We start from the raw sequence: 24,253 nt of genomic DNA, 5'->3' as shown, positions 1-24,253 counted from the left end.
TGCTCCTCCCCATACTTCCCTGCTCTCGTATCTGCAAAATATTGCCTTGTTTGTACATTTCCTTCACATTTGCTGCCTCACTGCCCTCACAGACATTTTGGCAGTCAGGCAAGTAAGTATATTTCTCATTTTACTAAGAAGAAAGCAGAGGATCGAAAAATTAAATAATTTGTCAACTATCACACAGCTGAGAAATCTCTGAGCCTGGACTGTTTGAGATCTTAACATATTGCTTTCAGTAGAACAATACCAATTTAGACTTGAATTGTCATAAAAGGTTAAGTTTATGTTTTAAATGCTGTGTGTAAGGAAGGCAGCAAAATGCACATACCACCTTGGAAAAATCTTAGGTAAAAGTTTATAAGCATTTAACACGTGCAGTGTTAACTGAACTAATCTGGGACAATTCAGTTACTGGAAGCTATTCAAGTTTAACTTCATCCAATAATATTTTCAGGGAGAGGGGCTGAATGGTTAACTTAGATTTCTGACAGTTACAAATTATACTTAATTGACTTAAAACTCTGATTCACTAGGCCTATCACTTCATGTTTGTTGGATAAGGTAAATTAAATAATTCTCAGTTATTTTAGACCAGTAGAAAATGTTGTAGCTGTACTCTTAAGTTGTAGTGAGAAATCAACTCAGACCTGGTGTAAAATCTGGGTTAGGAAGATGTTCGTTATGTTTTACTCTTTTGATTTTTATGTAAGACCATTTTTGCCTTTAAAGTCTTATGTGTTTCTCATTCTCTACTTCTCAGTGTTCTGACTTGCCTAAATCAAGCAAAAGTTTCTGCATCTACAAAACCAAGCAAGCCCCAACCATGTTTACATTCTTTTCTGCATATTTCTTTGCCCAGCAGCACCTCAGCACCGAAGAGTGTTCAAGAGTAAACATCATTCTTTATATAGACTCCAAGAAGAGGTAACCCAAGCAAATATCATGTGACTAGAAGTCTTTGAAAGCTAATATTTAGTGACCTCTTGTGTTCTTCACTTTCAAAATATTTGTCTCTGGAAATAATGTGAGAACCAGTTTGTCAAGGGGAAGTCAAAGTGGACAAAACTCAATTCTCAAATATTTCCCTCTATGGGTACCTAAGTAGGGGCTGTGAGTTGAAGAGATCAAAGAGGCTACCTATAGCACCTGTGGTTCTTTTGCAAAGAACAAAGACTGTAATCCGAGATTCAAACTCTATACCTCAGTCACATTTGGTAGAGGAAGAAAACCTTAGGGTTTTAGTTTGGGGAATTTTAGAGGAGATAAAATTATGTGACATCAAGGCAAAAGTACACATTGCCAAATTTAATTAAAATTTTGGTATTTAAGTTCAATATTTTAAAAGTAAAAAGAAACCTTTTGATAATAATAAAAATAGATACTTGCTGTCAGACTTGTTTTTCAGACAGTGAAATGTTGACTGTTGACTGTTTAAACAAAGCACAAACATTACATTTACATCAAAATTTAAATAACTTTTTACAATGGATGATAGAATAAGTTTAATAGAACACATTCTTTAAAGCAAATTAAAGATTCATTAAAGGATTATTCAAATCTGCTTAGATGGTTGACAAATTCAAAATTACAACCAGATACAGACAGATGGTCAATTATTTGAATTGCAAACTGAATTCAAACCCATTTATATTATTATTCCCAACAATAAAGAACAAATGTTACTTACATTTTTGAGAGGAGAGTTAAAATTATCTTCCCAGACTTAATACAAGTTTAAAAATTAAAAATAAATCCAATCTAAATACATAGTTATTATTACCACTAGAAATATAAATCATTAACTAGTACTTTGTAACCCAATAATTCACAATAATTCATTCACTCAACTGATCTTTAATGAGCACCTACTATATGTCAGGTTCAGTGCAAGGGGCATGGGTAGAGTGTTGAACAAAGAAGATAAAGTCCATTTTCTCCTGGAGTTGGGAGTCTAGTTGGGGAGGAACAAATACGCAGAGAGCCACAAGACAGAGAGTTAAATGCTATGATGCGAGAAGGACTGAGTTTACCGAGGGGTACCCAACCCATCCTGTAGAGTCAGAGAAGTGGCAGACTAGTGAACTGTTTGGGTCTATGGGTTGTCAGGAGGTAACCAAGTGAAGGGAAAATGTTTCCATGCCTTATGTACTTTGCAAGGGCTAAAACCAGCCTCACCATTAAGTGAGCTCTGTGAATTAGTAAAAAGGCCTTCTCTTAGTGAGGAGCTTGGTGCTGATGCACTATGGCTCTGCTTTTGACCAAGAGGCTTATTTAGATTTAAGCAAGAAGAGAGGGTGCAAAGAGAGATGTAGTTGGGTCCCCAAATGCCTGGAGTTAGAGGGATCTGTATCCTCAAAGGCTCCTCTCCAGGCATGGAAAGTAGGCTGTATTCCAGATGTTCATGTTCAAAGGGGCTTGGAGAATTCTGTCTGATTTGTAATGAGATGATGGTAACAAAGAAGCACATTTATCTTGGCTTCAGTGAAACTCAACAAAAAGAGTCTATTGAACAGGTGCAGCCAGCAACTGGGAGACGTGAAGCATTGATTGTAGGGAGAAGGTAGAAAGCTCTAGACTGTATAGAAAGGAGATTATCAAGAGCTGTACAAATACCCTTGTAACAATAACCTTACAAGGGTTCAGTGGATTCCTCTGTCTAGCCCAGAAAAAGTCAGCAACCAAGGATCATTTAAGAGCCCTTGGGAATCCTTAGTGGGCCTGGGGAAGGAAGAGAAGATGGGACAAATCAGAGGGAAGCTGCTCAACTTTGTTCTGTTTTAGTTGTGTTTTTGCTTACGCTTCACTGAGCAAAAGCTGATTTGGCTTTAAAAATTTTTGAAAGCCTCAGATGCAGTTGTCCAGACATATCTCTTAGCTTGGTTATGTAGTAGCTGTGAATCGTTGGGGAATGTAACCTCTCTGTGCTTAGTGTTCTCTTGTGAGAATTTAGATAATAATGCCTACCTTAATGGGATTGTTGTGAGCATTATATGCACAAAGCCATGTAAATTGTTTCACAAAGGCCAGGAACGCTACCAGGTGTGGTTGTGTAGATTGGGCACCGTAAAACTCTGTGAGTAGTCTGTCTGAAGGTGCCTTGCTGAATTCTGAAGTTCAAAATCTGCGTATCTGTATATGTTGGCTCTGGCAGGCATGTAGGAAGAAGGTGATATCTGGTACCCATTGTGAGGATGACAGGCAGAAACCTGTTATAAGAGTAGAGTAAACATAGAGAAAAGATAGAAGACAGCTATAATTGGATGGTAGGTAGTAAAATGATGGCCGGGGCACAACCCATCCACACCAATACTGAGCTAGGCAAAAAATTAACCCAGGCCTCATGGGTTGGTGTATCTGAGCCCAGCTCGAGAATGATATAGGACAGAGCTGTTCTGGCAATGTTATATACTCAGAGGCCTCAGTGCTTGCTTCTAGGTAAACTTCTGCTAATCTTCCCTTGGGGAAAGGTGTGACACCTTTTTTGCTCTTGTTTTTTTGCTCTTGTTGCACAGGCTGGAGTGCAGTGGTGCAATTTCATCTCACTGCAACTTCTCCTGCCTCAGTCTCCCAGGTTCAAGCAATTCTTCTGCCTCAGTCTCCAGATTAGCTGGGATTACAGGTGCCTGCCACCACATCCAGTTAATTTTTGTATTTTTAGTAGAGATGAGGTTTCACCATGTTGGCCAGGCTGGTCTTGAACTCCTGACCTCAGGTGATCCACCTGCCTCGGCCTCCCAATGCGCTGGGATTAGAGGCGTGATCCACTGCGCCCTGCCAATATGAATGATTTTCATGGAGCTTTGAAACCCTAATAGACAAGGGTTCTATGGAATTGAAAGCTGGAACAGTGGCATTTTTGACGTTGTCGGGGAAACCCAGACATGAAAGGTGACCCTTCTGAATCCAGTGTCAGCAGACTAGCATGGCTGTCCAGATCACAGGTATCAGAAAGCCACTACCATCATGAGCACTTTGTGGTTTACACTGGCAGGTTACCAAGGCCACTGGTAGCAGATGCATTAGGTCTTTGCCTAATGACCTGGCTTCTTTTGCAGGAATCAGCAAACTTTCTCTTGCAAAGTTTCTATTTCAACAAATTATTTCACTCCCAGAACAAGTTCACAATGAGAGTGAGGGGAAAAGATTAAAAGTAAGGAAATTTTCAACAGAGATTACACTCACAGTCTATTTTCCATGTATTTGGATTAAAGAAAATGCATTTACAATTAATCTGAGATGGTAGAAGAAATAAGATATATGTGTTGCTTCAATCACAGCTCAGTTTTCCTCCCAATATTACCTTCCACTTTACTGGGCTTTCCCACAAAAAATTAGAAATGAAACATCACTCTTGTGGAGGTACTGATACTTTGAATTGGTGTGTGCCTGTGTTTAAAATGCCAACCAGCAGTGATCATTTGAAGGTAAGCGTGACCTGAGATTGTAAGACCTTGAAGAGCAGAATCTTCACAAGGTTGGTCTTTAAAAAAAGAAATAATCATTTTGTTTTTGTTGCCACGAAATGACCTTGAATTTGATCCAGTTTAATACCTTTAAAGATATGAAAATATAAGATCCAGGAATGGGAAGTAATTTCTGTAAAGTTTGGACATAAGACCTGCTGGAAGACAATCTTGCATGGGTATTTTGCATTTTTGCACATCTTGTGAGAAGAAACATTGAGTGTCTTCATTTTGTACTATCATTGAAAGGATGTTTGTTCAGCCTTAGAAGAAAGAGATAGTAACTTTTTGCAAGCAAAGGACACACATGCTTACGCCTCATTATAAAAAATTTAGATATCTTCAGCTCAGGGTTTCTTTCCTGTGATAAGGGCACCTTATGTGCATGAAGCTATCTGGTCTTGTTTGCACTGCCCCATGGGACTTGGTGGACAAGGGAAACTGATGCAAATAATGCTGCTGATGATGATGCTTGCTGTGCTGTGAGTTAAATAGTCTTTTGTCTCTGACCCAGGAGTCTTGTGTTTTCTACCAACATCCATGAAACTGTGCAGGCTAATTTGTTAGCTTTCAAGTAGGATAAAATCTCAGACCCTTCACAATTATTGATCGGAGTAAAGGCCTAGAGCAGGAATTCTTATTCATGACTGGCGCTGTGGTGTTCGCTATTTGATATGAGGTTTGCAAATTGGTGTTTTTACTGAAGAATCTTTTCTACGAGTGAAACATGCCCACCCCCAAAATACACAGGAACGTTCAAACCTCAAACAGGACATAGATTATGTGATTCTATGGAGAAATTAAGATATTTTCAAACTCATCCTAGTGTCTTAGGTTGCAAACCAAGAAAGAAATGGAAATCCTGGTAATGTTTCTAGGATTTCCTCATCAGAACTGAAGTCAGGAGCCTGTGCCTCTTCATCTTCCTTCATACCAACAGCACTGGTATACTTTATTTCTATGGAGAGAGTCTATGGTTTATTTCTCTTTTCCCCATCCCACCACCAAGAACTCATTCTCATGTATATTCAATTCAAATTCTTTTAAGGTCACTTTTGCTAATAAGAACATATTTATCGCCTCCATTGTTCCACCTAGCAGTGTTCATTCTGGGTTTTTCTTCATTTTCATTGTTGACCCAGTGCTGCTGCCACCACCATTGCTGCCCTGAGTAAGAAATCTCCTCCTCCTGATTGCTATTCTCCTGAGCACACCTGTCATAAATCCTGTGGACTTCATTTGCCTTTGATCCTCTCTGACTTCCTGCTTGGTATTCAGAGCAGCAGAAAGGATGCCTTTCTATTTCATCACCTTCATCCTGTCTGCTCAAATAGGAACGCACCCTTTTATCAACATGCCTCACAGCTTGCCCCGACTCTGTCACTTCAGGGAAGAGATCTGACTGGTGACAGAATAAGGAAATCAGAGCTGCTGGGCTGAGAAAAACAAGAGCTCTTGAGGTGACTGTAAGGATCTTCTAGGAATAATGAGGGAAGATTGGATTGTGCACAGGCTACTCTAGTCCTTGGCATTCAAGAAACATCTTAGTCAGGGAACATGCACCCGCCCAGGCTAATAAACACTTAAGTGTCGGTTTCAAGGACAGACAATAATTCAGGCTCTTGTACCCAAAAGCAAAATCATACTGATGATCATTAGTTTTGGAATTTCTTCCTCTCTTTCAAATCCATTTTTGAACAAGTGCACACTTTTAACTTTTCTGTATGCCCTGGCTCTCTTAAGAGCCATGAACATTTAATAAACAGAGAGAAAACTCAGGATTGCAGATGATGTTAGGGCATGGTCACAGACACCTCAAAATAGATTTTTACATGAGCCAGGAATATTCCATGGGAAACAAAGGCAGCTACTTTTTTATGTCTGGTAGTAATTTTATTCATTTTACATGTAACTTTTCTTTCCAAAAAAATATATCACTCTCCTTGCCAAAAAGAATGGATAATCCTTTTGGAGAGAAAAGTTACAAGCAAAATGTGATTTTACATGTGTACATTAAATATATATATTTATATATATATTTATATATATTAATATATATTTATATATATTTTTTATATATTTATTTATATATATTTATATATATTTTATATTTATATTTATTTATATATATTTACATATATTTATATATATTTATTTATATATATATATACACACACACACACACATACACACACACCTTACTGTTATCTCCTTTTGCAAAAAGGAAGTTCAGTAGATGTTGCTATCCTGGACAACACCACAAGGTGCAGTTAAGAGTTTTCCAGGGTATCCCTGACCAAGTATATTGAGGGACATTTTGCTTGCTCCTTAAGGGAACCCCCACTTTCTTTTTTATTCAATAGATAGAATGTTTCTGGGAAAGCATGGCAATAGAATCCCCCAAGGATTGCACACAGAAACACCCCTGAAGACACAGGCCTCCTAGAACTGCAGATTATCCTGTTGAGACCAGATCCTCTGAGATTCTCACTACAACTCAACTGCCTGAGCTGCCCATAACTTGTAGGTAGCCAACCCTGCTCCACAGGGCCACAGTTCTATGCTACATCCTTTCTGCTTCCAGTTATAACACCATCACACACATCAGGATCATCCTGCAATATGTACATTGATGCTTACCTAGAAGGTCCAGCCCTTCCTCTTCCCCCGTGCCTTCCTCCCAGCAAAAGAAGTATGTAAGAATTTTGAGTTTTTGTATTATTCCTTTCTCATGCTGCTATAAAGACATATCTGAGACTGGGTAATTTATAAAGGAAAGAAAGGTTTAATGGACTCAGTTCCACATGGTTCGGGAGGCCTCACAATCATGGTGGAAGGTGAAGGAGGAGCAAAGGCAGGTCTTACATGGTGGCAGGCAAGAGAGCGTGTGCAGGGGAGCTCCCTTTTATAAAACCATCAGATCTCATGAGACTTATTCACTATCATGAGAACCCCACAGGAAAGACCACCCTCATGATTCAATTACCTCCCACTGGGTTCCTCCAACAACACATGGGGATTATGGGAGCTACAATTCAAGATGAGATTTGGGTGGGGATACAGCCAAACCATATTAGGGATGCTCCCATTATCTGTCTTCCTATCCTCCATCTTCAACACACACAGACACACACACGTGCATGCACACACACACACACACACACAGTGTGCTATTGAATTCCAGGCATTCAGAGGACAAGGCTGAGGTTATTCAGGACCCTGGTGCATAGACTGTGCTTGTGATTTATGGCTTCTCTTCCTCACACTTCCTGGTTAAAACCTCTTATACACCATCTTACGGAATCTTCTGTTTGGAAAGAAATGCAAACAGTTATGATTTATTTTATTTATTCCACTCTTTCCAGATGAGGAATGGTTTAAGCTGCATCTCATGTGATCTCAGGGGACACAGCATCATCTCTAGAAGTTCATTTAAAGAAAGGGGATTATGTTGGAATTACCTACTTTGTTAGAGCCCTTGAGCTGGAATCCTATCATGTCACAAACAATGCTGAAGGAATGTGCAAACTTCAAGAAATTAATCCCTAAGAGATGGTCTGCATTTCATCCAGATAACCTCAAAATTTATACCTAAGGCACCCAGGAACATGGGGCAGTATCAGTTTTTGTTTTTTTTTAATAAAGAAATTCTCCCTTGGCTTAACCCAGTCTCTTCCACCACCAAACACCATTTCTCCTGTTCTAGACATCCTGGCAATAGAGAATGACAGGTCTGCCTTCTCTTCTTAGAAGTCATTGAGCTTGTGAAGCAGGGCCTTTTCTCTCTTTGTGCAATTCCAATTCTTCCCTTGATTACCATACCATGGGCATGAGCTCCATGCCCAGTATTTGGCGTCTGGATCCATTTCCTAGAGATTGACAGTGTCTCTAGTGTCAGGGAGAGGAGTTCATCACAAAGAAACTCTGCTGGAGACTTTAGATTTGATTCACAGGCAAAAGAAAGAAAAAAAGAAGAAAGAAAGAAAGAGAGAAAGAAAGAAAGAAAGAGAAAAAAGAAGGAAGGAAGGAAGGAAGGAAAGAAAGAAAGAAAGAAAGAAAGAAAGAAAGAAAGAAAGAAAGAAAGAAAGAAAGAAAGAAAGGAGGGAAGGAGGGAAGGAAGGAAGGAAGGGAGGGAGGGAGGGAGGGAGGGAGGGAGTGGGAATTTCAACAGCAACTCTTAGAACCATTCCAAAAAAAAGCCTCCTCAGATAAATTATGCACAGTTAGTCCCCTAAGTGTACACACAAGGCATCTCTGTGAACTGTGCCTTTTCAGCTTCCGTCCTACTTGCATGCATGCCTGCTAATGGAAATCAATATTGCAATTAAATTGAGGAAGGGCACCTTCCCTCTAATCCTGTCAGCAATCATAGAACTTTGTTTATTCACTAGTTTTTCTTCTTGATTCCTCTTTTGTATTCATGTATAATGATGATTAAAGGGGTTTCTGCCTGCCCCACTGATGGTCATGCTTTACACTAGACTACCTTTCTTTCTTCTTATAGTTTATCCTTTAAGATCCTATTCACTCATTATCCTTTGCCTCATGTTATTCGCCCAGCAGACAATATTTTGCTTGAACACTTCTATTGATAGAAGATTCCCTGGTTCCTTATGGTGTGTTTTCACTATATTCTTAGAAAGATTCCTATATGTTCAGCCATATTTAGACTTCCCTATATTTTATGCATATCGATTCTGATTCTACTCTTCTTGTTTCATAGGTTTATTTGTTCTGGAACCAATAGCACAGCTTTGTGTTGATTATGGTTTTATTTCCTTCATTAGATTCGGCTACTTTTGCACCTCAGAAGATTATAACCAAGAGTCAAATGAATTGGCTCTTTGGTTTCTCCCTAATCCATGTCATTGGCAAGTTTGCTCATCGTAAAGTCAACTTATTTATTTCATCATGAATAAAAATGCTGATCAAAGCCAGTCTGAAAGCCGAATTGGGGGTAGGTTTGGAGTTGTTCAGCATTGATGGAATCCAGTGAGAATGAATGTTCATTACACAGAGACACCTATAATGAGAGTTAAAGAAATATGCTAATCATAGTGGTGTGACAGCATCTAAGGGAATGAGACTTCTGAGTGAGTGACCCTGGAATAATGGAAGGAAGCCTCTTTTACATGATTTCATAAATAGTTAAGTGGAAATTATCCAAATCGGCAGCACACCAGTTAGATTCTGGGAGGCATTTGTTTGATGATTCTTAAAGCCATATTAACATAACTGAAACCTAGCACTTCCCAGAGTGTACTTAATGGATTTCAATACAAATTCTTTGCAAAAAAACAAAAACAAAAAAATCAGCCAAAATTTTGGAAAGGGCTGGCTTAGGCAAAGTTAAGCAGGTTTCTTTCATTTTTAGACTTCTTAAAGTTTAAATAGAGAGTTTTGACAAGTAAGTTTCTTTTTTTTTTTTTTTTTTTTTTTTTTTTTTTTTTTTTTTTTGAGACGGAGTCTCGCTCTGTCGCCCAGGCCGGACTGCGGACTGCAGTGGCGCAATCTCGGCTCACTGCAAGCTCCGCTTCCCGGGTTCACGCCATTCTCCTGCCTCAGCCTCCCGAGTAGCTGGGACTACAGGCGCCCGCCACCGCGCCCGGCTAATTTTTTGTATTTTTAGTAGAGACGGGGTTTCACCTTGTTAGCCAGGATGGTCTCGATCTCCTGACCTCGTGATCCACCCGCCTCGGCCTCCCAAAGTGCTGGGATTACAGGCGTGAGCCACCGCGCCCGGCCGACAAGTAAGTTTCTTAATGGTGTATAATTTGTGTAACATTTCTTAAATTTATTTGCTGAAAGGACTTATTTTTTTCTTGGAATGATTTGAAGGGTTATTGTTCTCTTGGGAAATTCTACACTAATCAGGGTGGGACTAGGGTGAGGCAAGTGAGGCGCTAGCACCTGCACAACGTGAGAGCAAGCACCTCCTTAAATTGCACACCCTGGGTGCTTCATGGCTTGTACTAGTCCCAAACCTGGCTCTAAACCATGGGCAGTGGCACAGGCTAGCCAGGGAGAGACTTCTGAGTTTACGCGTGAAGCTATACCACAACATGTCTGCCGCAACCAGCCAGCTACCCAAACATTTCCTGAACAAATGAATTCCAACTAAAATGAAGAGGTATTGTCCCTGACTACTGGGATCAGTAAACAAACGATATCATGGAACAGTGCACTGTGAAACAGTTACCAGTCCCAGGGAAAGACTCCAAATACATGGAGAATAGCGAAGATCATCAACACTATGCCAACCACCAGGAATAAACATCCAAACACTTCTGTCCATTGCATTTTGGTACTGACGTTGCCAAGGAAAACAAAGCAGTCAAGCACCAGATGGGACAACGCTTTACTTACACAGAGAAGAGACAGAGCCAGATCAGCTTCAATGGCATGTCAGTCCTCCGTGGCCAGAGGGTTCCCACCCCACAACCCCTGGCATCCAAGTAGGGCAATTTACCTAAACACACTCCTCTCCCATCACAACAGAAGGACTCTGACCCCTACCCCAAGGAATATGAAATACAGAAAACTGGAGACATGCCTGAGGGTCATTGACATACATACTTAAGCAGAACTAAGGGATACTCATTGAGCCTGAAACAGGGAAAAATAGTCCCACACTTGGTAAGGAAGTGTTCCAGGCTCATGGCCCATTCTTATGTGGCCAAGGAGGGTCAGAAGACTGTACACGAGACTGCTTTTCTCAGCAGATATCAACATAGTTATTCTGTGACTGAGCCCTTTTAATTCACCCTGTGGTGTGTGCATGAGTACGTGTACACACACACCATCTAGAATATGAAACTGCAGGCTTTCCTTGGTCCAGCACAGTCATGTGTGACTCTTCCTGGCTAAATGCTGATGAACCTAAAGGGAGCATGGCTCGTTCCCCACAGTGCCCCTGTTACATGCCAGGACTTGAGGAATGATTAGAGTCCTGAGTTCAAGCTGAGAGGTAGTTGCCCTCCTCTATAGAATACGCCCTTGGCTTCTACTTCCCCATGGATGGAAGGTAAATCCTCAACAGGGTGCCACTTGAGGATCAGGAGATCTTGTATCTGGGAGCGGCTCCACTCCACAGTTCCCCACCACTCCTACCCCTATGTGGCCTATCCATTCTTTTTCTTTTATTATCTCAAAGTTTCTGTGAGTCAGGGGTTTGGACTTGACTTGGCTATATTTTCTGCTTCAGAAATTCATAAAGTTGCCATCAATGTATTGGCTAGGGCTGAAGTCTCACCTCAAGGCTCAGCTGGTGAAAGATGCACTTCTAAGTTGACATGGTTGTTACCAGAATTCAGTTCCTTGTAGGTTACAAGACTGATGGCCTCAGTTTGTTGCTAACTATAAGCTAGAAGCCTTCCTCAGTTCCTTGCCACACAGGCCTCTGTACAGGGCAGCGTACAATATAGAAACTTATTCCATCAAAACCAGAAAGGGAGAGAGTTTCCTAGAAATATAGACATTAAAATGTTATGTAACATAATCCAGGAAGTGACATTCTGTCATTTTTGCAATACTCTATTTGTTAGAAGCAATTCACGAGTCGTGCCCATACTCAAGGGAGGGAATCACATAAGAATGTGAATACTGGAAGTTAGGGAGAATTGGGGCCATCTTGGGGAATGTTTTCAAAGTCCAGGGAGCTTACAAATATGCCTTGGTTTATATGTTCTGCATTTGCAAGGTCTTATTTTAAGCCAGTGGTGGGTAGCTCACTAGAGCCTTCTGTGGTTTCTCCTAAGCAGGGACACACAGCTTTGTGCATGTGTATAGGCTTCCAGATGACCAGGTGTAAGTGGGATCTCAACAGGGTTCCTTTTGTCCGTCTCATTTAGCTAAATCTTCCTGTTACATTTCTGGCTGCTTTGCTGTTCTGTGAAATCTCCCAACTAGGACGGACCTGAGGCTGATGTTATCCTTCCCTGTTTATGTTACGTTTGCCACTCGTAGCTTTCTTGTTTTCAACAAGAGGATTTTCCACTATCTGCTCCAAATGCTGCAAGTTCTCCTCTAGCAGGGAGCAGAGCTTCCAGGCATTATGATCTGTCCTGCCTGTCTGGATGGAACTTCTGCTCCATACTATTGGTGAGTGGGGGTGCAGAGATGGGAAAAATTCCTAGCTAAAATGTCACAGTAGATTTTCTCAGATAAGTGCTTCTAAATTTTGTTATATGTTCTTTGGTCAATTCCCAAAGTCTTTAAATAGTAATTTTTGGCAAATTGTTACAGTTTTAACACTGCTTTATGCAACAGTTTTTCAACTTCATCACCCAGCCATTCAGAAATTCCTGTCTCCAGACCTACAGAATCAGAAACCACATTTTAAAAATAGTTTCATGTGATTTGTATGCATAATTCGCTTGAGAAACAGTAGTCTGGGTGATTTTCAGAAATTCCAAATGAGAAGCATTCAAATATGTACTGATATCCAAGATCCTCAGTTTGGAGGTTTCAGTACTATTTATTGTGGGATTAAGAAAAATTGAAAACACAATGCTTGTTTCTAGAATGTTAAATAGAAAAGTGTAACTATTTTCCCCATATATTAGAAAAAATACCGTGCATATTACACTTACCCCAAATATACAAAAATAATAATTTATAGTTATTAGTGGGATAGAGAGGAGTATAATCCTATCACCATAGGGGATAAAGTACCTCAACTCATAGTCCAATGCAGTATCTTGAAAATGAAAACAATAGCACTGTAACTATAGGAGTACAATAAGAACTGAACTGATTAAATGTTTACCCAATTCATTAGAAAATTCTATTGACTCTACCTTTAAAACCCATCTTGAATTTGTGGATATAATTGGTGTATCTGTTCAGTTGCCACTTGGTTGCCTACACCTGAAAGGCAATACGGTGGAGCCAATCAAATTACAATTGACCCTTGGACAGCATGGGTATTAGGGGTGCCAACACCCCTTGTAATTGATAGTCCGTGTATACTTTTTTTACTTCCTCAAAACTTCACTACTAATAGCCTCCTGTTGACTGGAAGCCTTATGGATAACATAAACAGTTCATTAACACATATTTTGTATTTTATATGCATCACATACTGTATTCTTTAAAAAAGTAAGCTAGAGAAAAAATGTCATTAAGAAAATTATAAAAAAGAGAAAATATATTTACTCTTCATTAAGTGGAAGTGGATCATCATGAAGGTCTTCATCCTTGTCTTTACACTGAGTAGGTGAGGAGGAGGAAGTGGGGGGTTGCTTTTACTGTTTCAGGAGTGGCAGAAGCAGAGGGAAATCTACATACAAGTGGATCTGTGTTGTTCAAACACATGTTCTTCAAGGGTTAACTGTCATTGACATCGAATCACCTTCATTCTTTCTAGCTTTGAGCAAGTTAGTAACTTCTCCATGTTTGTGTCCTCATTTATATAAGGAGGATAAAAGTATTTCACTTATAGGAAGCTGTGAGAATTAAACGAGTTAATATGTAAAAGGTTAAAAACAGGGTCTAGCCCTCAGAAACACTGTGTAGGCATTTGCTTTTATTACTCTCCAGTGTTACCAACATAGTCTGAGTCACTTTGATTTATTGTCTGTATTACTTAACAACACACTGTCTATCTGGCCTTTCTCCTTCTACTTTTGTTTCCTTAGGGTCTGTTATCCATCCTGTTTTCATGATGATCCTTTAAAAAATGTATAGGCCAGGCATGGTGGCTCTCGCCTGTAATCCCAGCACTTTGGGAGGCCGAGAGGAGCGAATCACTTGAGGTCAGGAGTTCGAGAGCAGTCTGGCCAACATGGTGAAACCCCGTCTCTACTAAAAATACAAAAATTAGCTGGGTGTGGTGGCGCATGCCTGTAATCCCAGCTACTTGGGAGGCTGAGGTGGGAGAATTGCTCCAACCTGTGAGGTGGAGGTTGCAGTGAGCCGAGATCTTGCCATTGCTCTCCAGCCTGGGCGGACAGAGTGAAACTCTGTCTCAAAAAAAAAAAAGTATGTAACTCTTTTTACTTTCTTGTGGCTGCAATGTACTAGAGCTGGCCAGCGCTGACGTAGGAGAGAGCCAGTGGTGCTCATCTCTTACTAACTCCGCCTCCAGTGACTTCACTTTAGTATACTGAAATTGGCCATGGTAGGATATACACACCATGGAGTTTGGCAAATGCTACAGATCACTTTCTTTTCCCTGGAAAGCTGTTTTTAAAACATTTACCAGCATACCACTAACTGATACCCTCCAAAACTTTTCACAACACTTCCAATAAGGTCTGAATTCCATCCTCTGTCCTACAAGGCCCTGAATGTTCTGAACCGTGCCTTCGTCTCAAACTTTATTTCCTTTCTCTTTGCCTTGCTAAGTGCTCTCTAGTAAAATAGTTCTTGATCCCATCCCATCACAGGGCCTGAAAGCCTCCTCCTCATTCTCAGGGATTTCTTTTTTTTTTCAAATTTCTGCTCAAATATCATATCCTTTGAAAAGTCTTTCCTGACCATTTTACCTCTGTCACTCTCTATCTCCCTATTCTTTGTTTTTCTTTATAACCCTTATAATTCTTTTATTATATTACCTATGTAAACATTTACTTACTACCCATTAGAATATAAGCATGGTGGTTCACCCCCGTAATCCCAGAACTTTGGGAGGATAAAGTGGCTGGAGATACCTTGGGCTCAGGAGTTCCAGACCAGCCTGGGCAACATGGTGAAACCCTTTCTCTACAAAAACACCAAATATTAGCCTGGTATTGTGACTTGTGTCTGCAGTCCAAGCTACTTGGAAGGCTGAGGTGGGAGAATTCCCTGAACCCAGGAGGCCGAGGCTGCACTGAGCCGAGATCATGCCACTGTACTCCAGCCTGAGGGATGGAGTGAGACCTTGTCTCAAAAAAAAAAAAAAAAAAATTATAAGATCAAGTACTTCATCTGTTTGTTCACTCTTCACTATGGACTACTCACTGTTCAGAGGAGTCCCTGTTGCACGCAAGTTACCCAATAAATCATCATTAAATAAATGAATAAATTAGTGCTTCAGTATAAATGTATGACTTTGTTTAACCCCTAGCACACGAGGAGAATATTTCCCCTTACTCTCGCCAACAATAGTAAGCTTTTAACGTTTGCGTGAGCAACAGAAAATGCTAAATGGCACTTACCGTGGGCTGGGTACTGTTATAGGTACTACATATATGAAAACTTATTTCATCCTTACAACAATCCTTTTACTGATGACAAAACAGAGAAGTTGAATAACTTGCCTGTGGACCGTGTAGCTAGTAAATGGTAGAATGAAGTTGCAAACCTTAAGCCCATGTTCTTAATCATTTTACTTTACAATTTCATTATTCCATTAAAAATGCTACCTATGACCAGGAGAGGTGGCTCACGCCTGTAGTCCCAGCACTTTGGGAAGATCACTTGAGGTCAGGAGTTCGAGACCAGCCTGGCCAACATGGTGAAACCCCGTCTCTACTAAAAATACAAAAAATAGCTCAGTATGGTGGCGGGCTCCTCTAATCCCAGATACTCAGGAGGCTGAGGCAGGAGAACCCTTGAACCTGGGAGGCGGAGGTTTCAGTGAGCTGAGATCGTGCCATTGCACTCCAGCCTGGACGACAAGAGCGAAACTCCTGTCTCAAAAAAAATGCTACCTATTGTTATTTTATTTTGCATTGCTTCTACTACTGGTGTGTGTGTGTGTAAGAGACTTTTGTATATTTAATGACCATTTGTATATTTTAATATAAAATACAACTGCAGGTTCTTTGCTCTTCATTTTTTTCCAACATAAGTTGGGATTTTGATCTTCCTCTGATTTATTCATAAGAATCTTTTATATTTATATTTCAGGGCTACTAAATCTTTGTCAATGGCGATTTTTCTTTGACGAATAAAACAATTTTTATATAGTCAAATGGAGCAATTTTTTTTCTTTTAGACTTTCGGGCTTTAATGATGTGTTAGCAAATGCTTCCCTATGATTTAATTTTTATGTGATAATTTCATTTTTAAAATAATCCTTTGCCTTTAAAAAATATATAACGTGACTTTGAATCAGACCAACTATCCCAGTAGTCTCCAACATGGCTGTACATTAGCATCTCCCATGTGTCTGAGTCAGATCCTGAACCAACTGAATCAGAATTTCTGGAGTTAGATCCTGCATATCTTTACATTTCAGATGTGAACCCCAATGATATATCTTTCTTTCTGATGTTTCTTTTTTGTATACTAGTAAAATAATCACCCAATCAGGGATATGATGTACTGTAACCTTTCTTCACCTGACAGTATATATTAAGTTTTGTTATCAGCATTATTGCAGTGTTGTAAAAGTTGTCTGCAAGTTTTCTTCTTCTGCTACCTCCTGGGACAATTTAAGTTGTAAAATGATTTCTTTTATTCTTATTCATCTCTACATTTAAAAATATCTCTTGTGTTAATTCCGGCAATTTGTATTTCTATATAGAAATTATCTCCATTAAAACTTTAAAATATAGTTCTAGATTTTTTGATTCCCCCAGTATTTTTGGTTTTCAGTTAGAGCCCTAGCAAGTCTATATAAAATACACTGAGGATGGTAATCTGATGGGGTTATGGTGGGAGCTATTCTTAGACTTGTATGGAAGCTCTGTTTGCATAGCATTTTATCTGAATTTGAAGAAAGATCCATTGTCTGTGTCAAATATTAATATTCCAGAGATGTACACAAAGCAGATTTTCATGTATTCACTGTCTCTTTTCAAGGATATGGCTTCCCCTATAACTCCTAGATAGGATCTGGAAAGGAATACAATTCTAGTCCCTTAATAGCATTAAAAGTAGGAAGAAAGATGTTTCAAAGTGAATGAGTCATGTAATGTTTGCCATTGTTTTTACCCTCACTTTCTATAATATGTACCATAAATCTCTATTTCACTTTGAGACGAATTGTGTCTTCTATACATTTTTTCCTGAATAAAGAAATGCCTGTCTTATTATCACAGATTGGCTCTTTGTGTTGTTAAACCTTTACAAAAAAGAAAAAAAAAAAGGCTTTTTAAAATAGAGAAAATACAGAGTATCTGTAAGACTCCTTTCAACTATTATTTATATGCAAATAAATATCTACAATTACTCCTGCCAGATAGAAGGTGAAGAGTGTTAACAAGCATAGGCGCATAAAACTCAGGTTTTCTATGCGGAAGTTGGGATAATCTGATCCTGGGAAGACTGAGTGATACTATTAATCAGATGTGATGAAAGTGCAAACCAATTGCAATGAGCCATACAATTTGTGCAAGATAGAATAGCAAATTATATATCTGATAGGAAGTTAATATCATATATATATATGGTAGTATATGTATATATATATATGTATACATCAAACAACTCAGTAGCAAAAATAAAATAAAATAACCCCAATTTAAAAATTGGCTAAGGACCTGAATAGACATTCCTCAAAAGAAGATATGCAAATGGTCAGCAGGTATATAAAAAGGTGCTCCACATCACTAATCATCAGAGAAACACAAATCAAAACCACTCCTGTTAGATAGGGGTTATCAAAAAGACAAAGACAAAAGATAAGTATTGGTGAAGAGGTGGAGGAAAAGGAACCCTAGTACACTGTTGGCGGGACTATCAATTAGCATAGTCAATATAGAAAACAGTATGGAGGTTCCTCACAAAATTAAAACTAGAACTACCACATGACCCAGCAGTCCCACTTCTGGGTATATATCCAAAGGAAATAAAATCAGTATGTCAAAGATATACCTACACTCCTGTGTTCATGGCAGCATTATTTACAAAATACAGAGGCAACCTAAGTGTCCAGAAGTAGATGAATGGATAAAGAAATTGCGGTACTCTGTGTGTGTGTGTGTACTGATTAACCTTGAAATAAAAAAGGGAATCTTGCCATTTGCAATAACATGGATGAACCTGGAGGACATTATGCTAAGTGAAATAAGCCAGAAACAGAAAGACAAATACTACATGATCTCACTTATATGTAGAATCTAAAAAAGTCAAACTTATAAAAGCAGAGAATAGAATTGTGGTTGCTAGGGTGTGGGAGAAGGGGTAAGTGATGGAGGTATTGGTCAAATGGTACAAAGATTCAATTACTAGAGATGAATAAGTTGTGGAGGCCTAATGTATAGCACAGCATCTTGAGTTAACAATACTATATTGCATACTTGAAATTTGCTAAGAAAGTTGATCTTAAGTGTCTTCACCACTGAAGGAAAAAAAACTTTTTTGAGATAGATAGATGTGTTAATTTGCTTGATGTGGTAATTATTTCACAATATGTACACATATCCAAGCTTCACATTGTATACTTAAATCTATACAATTTTTGTTTCTAGAGTATACATCAATAAAGCTGAAAGAAACATGAAAGATAGAATACTCAGTATTGTAACTTTCCATGGCATTAGTGCATGATTCTTTCTTCTCACTGAGGCTCAGTATCACCCCTTCCCATGTCATATGTTCACGGATGCCACGATGTCTTCTTTTATCCTCCCAGGGTTGTAAGCCAGGGTTTTCTTCACTTTAGTACTTATAAGTAGAAAGCTTTTTGAAGTACATGGTTTTCCTCTATTGATTATGGAGTATAATATGAGGATTGACCATAGCACTCATCCTCACCAATACTTATCTTTTGTCTTTTGTCTTTTTGATAACATCTAGGTATTTCCAGTGCCTAGCAAAGGAGAAAAGAATGAGTAATCCAAATAAATGTAATCATTTTTGTTTTTGTAGGATGCAGGTTGTTATTATGTGCGTGACTTTATCTATATAACAAGGATACCTTCAGTGTCTCTAATTATCCATCTCTCATTAAATAGACTCAGCCAATGATGATTAAAAATAACACCACCACCCATAAGAGTAGCTACCTCGGTTTTCATAATAATGGAAAAGTAAAAATTCCCTAGAATGGTGTCCCCAAACAGGAGGTGGTTTTGACTAAATTATGTCACAATTAGTAGTGAAATATATCCATAAAAATTGATATGGGAGACTATGTAATAACATGAATAGATGCTTGTAATATGTAGTATAAGGGGAAGAAGGATGAAGTACAACATATTCTTTCAGTATTATAAAAACACAAGAGAAAAAGAGAGAATAAGACCAAACCATAAATACCAACATGAGGAACAACTACTAACACGCTAAATTACCTCCAAGTGTCAGGATTGAGGGTAAGCTTTCAATTTATTTTTAGTTAACATGTACCTGTTTTCTAAATTTCTAACTAGACATGTTTCCTTTTAAAGAAAAGAGTTCTTGTGAGCACTTCTAATGGTTTTCCTCTGCCTTCCATTTTCATCAGATTGATGACATCACATTCTCCTTCTCGTTGTCTTTTGTAGCTCCTTTCAATTTACTAGCTCCCAGCACACCCAGTCAGCAAACATTCATTGAACTCTTTGTAATCTGTGTATGCAAGTAATGGAGCTATGTTCAGATGATGTATAGGGAAATTAGACATAATCTCAAACTTCAAGGGGTTCACTATTCATGCCATGGTGCGGACTAATAGTTAAACATAGCTCTTCACTGAGTGCTCATGGAAGAGACCGTATGCTTAGAGTACAGGGCAAGGGTCTGGGTGTGTCAGTAAGCAGGAATCAGAGACTTGCTTTTTTAGAATCGTGCCTAAAATGAAAAGGAACACACGCAGAGTCCTCCTATGCAGGGTCTCCATGGTATACTATAGGGACAATGGGGTATCTGTGCATCCACCTTAGAGAAAATGCTTTACTCGCTTTAGCGTGATGGAATCTTTTGCTTAAATGGCACTGTGATATTGTTGGCTGTTACCAGAGTTTTGCCGTGTGGTCCTACTGCTGATCTTTGCCTTTTTGGGGGAGGAAGAGCTGTTTTCACCACAGCTTGGCCCCATCAAATTAAAGGGAAATAAACATATGTATAGAATGAACCCAGAAGAGGATTTGTGAGTTCTTAATTTTAGAAATACATACTTTGTAGGATAGAGTTAGTAAAAACATAAAAAGGAGAGAATTCATTTTAAACAGTCAGAATTATTTCTTGCACTTTAAAGCACAAATGTAACCCTTTAACAGTCTTATGAGATGTCATATAATCTGTTTCAGATTTAATTAAAACATAAAGTGATATATCTTTTTGATAATGCTACAAGTTACCTTTCCCCACAATAATTTCAGTCTTTACTTTTCTGATCATGCTAATATAGTAAACCCCTGAAATGTCTACTCCATTTTTAAGTTTGGGTTGATTTCTTATCAATGCTTGGCAAATACCTCTTTTCTATTGCCTGCTTTGCTGTGAGACCAACCTTGAAGAACATGTAGATCTTTCTATGAAAGTGGTTGATCAGAATTCTGCATCTTTGTAAGTTCACTTGTTTCACCTTTATACCATATGCAGATTGCTATTAAAAGATGTTAATAAATTTGGTGACTGTTGGATGTGCTTTCTGGTTGATGTGAAAAATAATACTGTTAAGGAATGTGAACATTCATCGGTGAGTGTTTATTAAAGTCTCAGGCCTACCAAGCCTTTAGCTTAAGAGGTCAATCTTGGCTGCAAAAGCTGAAGAGAATCCAATTTACTTATAACTAACAATATTTTATTATTGCATCAGTATAACAGGTATTAGGAAACTGGCATGCTCACATGCTACACAGTATTTTGTGCTTTAAGAATCTCTGACATGGTTTTCTTATTTTCATCATTTTTTTGGTGTCTAGAAAGATGTGAATGTGTGCTTTTTGCTGCAAACTTAAGGTGTGTTTAACTGAGCTATCTTTCTTAAAATAGAAGGTGGCCATTTTCCTTCATTTAGTGTTTTGTAGTATACAAACAGTTTCCTGGACTGCTAGCCCTCGAAATGTTACATTTGACAGAAGCCAAAAGAACATGCTCTGAAACAATATCCAGGTAATTGGGCACTTACATTTGAAATACACAAGCACAGCTATGATGGTCATGGTGAGGAAGGATAACATGCTATTAAAGGTGACAGGTGCTGGGGCCACACTTGGGTCCAAGTCTTATTTCTCTCACGACTGGCTATGTACTTGGGGAAAAATCCTTTATCCTCTGCAAGAGTCCATTTTCTCATCAGTGACATAGAGATTATGAATATTATCTCACTGTGATTGTGAAGATTAAATGATATGCCTATATATAATGCTTGTAGCCTAGAGCCAGGCACATTGTCAACAGCCTTGATAACAGCTGGCAAATATTGTTTTATAAAGGAAACTGTGTAGTAAGTAGCTCCGCAGCTCTATCTTATTTTATTCTGGTTCTGCCCCTTACAAGTTTGTATGCTTTGGGGCATGTCACTTCACCTTATTGCTCTTTAATTTTTTGTTAAAAAGATGTAGATACCTAAGCTTAACTAGCCTACCTCTGTTTCCAGGTTTACTTGCAAGCTCCCATCAAATCTGGGTGAAAAGTGACTTTCTCAAAAAGATCTAGAGGCTGGGAGCCGAGGTAGACATGGAGACGCATTGACCTGGTTCTGTCCCAGCTGCTCAGCCACCAGCATTGTAGTTACCTGACAGCTGAGGCCTTGCTATTCTCAGGTGTCCCTGGTCAATGACCCAGCAAGGCGGGGATAGCCAGGGGCAGATCCTTTGCAGGTGATTCCCGACCAATGCATGAGGAAAAAGCCTGAAAAGAAGTAGCTATTGTGGGGAAAGGTAACTTGTAGCATTATCAAAAAGATATATCCCTTTATGTTTTAATTAAGTCTGAAACATAGATTATATGATATGTCATAATGATGCAAGGGGCTGTCCAATTCCAGTTCTGCCCCTCAGGAAATTTCAATCTTTGCTTGAAGATGCTTCAAGGCTGGTGGAGACGTGCCCAATACTGTGACAGCCCCACCTGCCCCATCCTGCTTCCATCCTTTTCTTTTCACAGGTATTCTTCCCCAGTAAACCTCTCTCACACCTACTTTCATCTCAGTGTCTGTGTCCTGGAGAACTCCACCTCAGACAGGAGCCAAGAGTAAAATAAATCAAGAATATCCAGCCATCATCAGAATCTGGCAGGGTGACTAGGTAGACCTTGAGAAGCATTGAGGCAAAGAGGTTCCAGCTAGACCCGAGGGCAATGGCCCAGCACCAAGGCTCAGCTGAGGCTGTGTAGAGGAGGAGATGAGCATTAAAGCACCTAAGTAATGTAAAACTGCCCTGTAAACTCCTAAAGCACTGTTCAAATGGCAGCAATTTTTCATCTGTGTGGCAATGCATTGTTTTGCACCTTGCAGCATCGGGGAACCTACCTAATAAGGTTTCTGGGGTGTTGGGCACTGACTGCAGTCTTCTTTCTATTGGCAAAGTTGATGTTATTTTCAAAAGCACTCCTATACTCAGAGGGCTGAGGCAGAGTTAATGTGACAGCAGTAAAATTCAGGATATGTGGAATGAACACAGGATCTTTGAGGCCAATGAAGTTCAGGATTTTTCTCTGGGCTGCCAGCTCCAGATGCTTACCTTAAGGGAAAACATGCTTCTGTTGAGGATTTTGATGACCTGCATTTATGCGGCATAAGATAAGAATATGGAATTGTCAGAACTTGCTTTCAATAATCCCAGTTCTCTGTATCGGACGTTTATAAAGATGTTTGTTGTTGAAAAATAACTGGATAAATTGTTAATTATAGGGCAAGAACGGAATGGACTTATGGCATTCGGCATGCATTTTAATGGACATTTGGTAAAGGGTTTACGGGGAAAAATGCACTGCTATGTTCATTGCTTTTGTGCCCTTAGGATGGAGGCATTCTCTTTAAGCTACATAACTATCTTGGCTTCACTGTATCTGTAATAATAAATACACCTGCACTTTTTTTTTTTTTGGCCAGGATTCCTTTATATGACCAAATTTTATAGAACTTCTTGGTTTAAATGTGTAGCAGGACAAATTAGCTGTAAAGGTGTGCCACATATTCACAGTGCTGTTTTCCACTATAAAGATATACCTCAACACTTTCCACTAAGCACCTAAAACATACAGAAATGTTCAAGGGATGAGGGCAAAGAAAATCTGTATTTTCAATCTTGAGAAGTGTGGAAAACATGATGAAATGGTAAAAACTATTGTGTTTTCTAGTTAGAAACATAATAGTTGTAAAATTTGGTTCCTTTACTAATATTGGGCATATGGAATTTAGAAGTATAACTATGTTTCAATATATTATTGTTTATTGAAGTGTAGGTTTTCCAAGTGAACTAACTTTTCATTAGATTTCATGTTTGTTACGCCGGAAGCCTCAGTCATATTCTGAGAATCAAAACTGAATTGTAGAGGCTGGGCACAGGGCTCACGCCTGTAATCCCAGCACTTTGGGAGGCCAAAGTGGGTGGATCACCTGAGGTCAGGAGTTCAAGACCAGCCTGGCCAATATGACAAAACATGTCTCTACTAAAAATACAAAAATTAGCCAGGCGTGGTGGCATGTGTCTGTAATCCCAGCTACTCGGGAGGCTGAGGCAGGAGAATCGCTTGAACCCAGGAGGCGAAGGTTGCAGTGAGCCGAGATCATGCCATTGCACTCCAGCCTGAGCGACAAAGTGAGACTCTGTCTCAAAAAAACAAAAACAAACAAACAAACTGAATTGTAGAATATGTCTGGGGTATCGTAGTTTAAGTAACAGTAAAGTACTCTGAGCTCTGACCTTTTCTCTTCAGTGTTGCGTAGGTGTGTAAAACACCTTTGAGTAACAAAATAAAGTTTAAAAAAGAAGGAAAAGTATATAAACTTAAGCCAGCTTTGCCTAATCAGCTTGATTTTTTAG

General features: G+C 39.1%; 2 long non-coding RNA genes across 2 annotated transcripts in view; both read left to right on the top strand.

Moving 5' to 3' along the window:
- The first annotated feature begins 3,884 nt into the window (after positions 1 to 3,884).
- Positions 3,885 to 24,253, top strand: part of LINC01581 (long intergenic non-protein coding RNA 1581) — a 202,536-nt gene continuing 182,167 nt past the window's right edge. Inside the window, exon 1 of the long non-coding RNA NR_120320.1 lies at positions 3,885 to 3,944. This is a non-coding gene — a long non-coding RNA (long intergenic non-protein coding RNA 1581). The remainder of the gene's footprint in view (positions 3,945 to 24,253) is intronic.
- The window catches only part of LOC105369203 (uncharacterized), a 35,447-nt gene continuing 23,580 nt past the window's right edge, over positions 12,387 to 24,253 (top strand). The window contains exon 1 of the long non-coding RNA XR_002957694.2: positions 12,387 to 12,566. This is a non-coding gene — a long non-coding RNA (uncharacterized LOC105369203). The remainder of the gene's footprint in view (positions 12,567 to 24,253) is intronic.

This window comes from Homo sapiens, chromosome 15, assembly GCF_000001405.40.
Source record: "Homo sapiens chromosome 15, GRCh38.p14 Primary Assembly".
Classification (NCBI taxonomy): Eukaryota; Metazoa; Chordata; class Mammalia; order Primates; family Hominidae; genus Homo; species Homo sapiens.
Note: the sequence above shows the minus strand (reverse complement) of the source record. Positions and strands in the feature narration are given on the sequence as shown.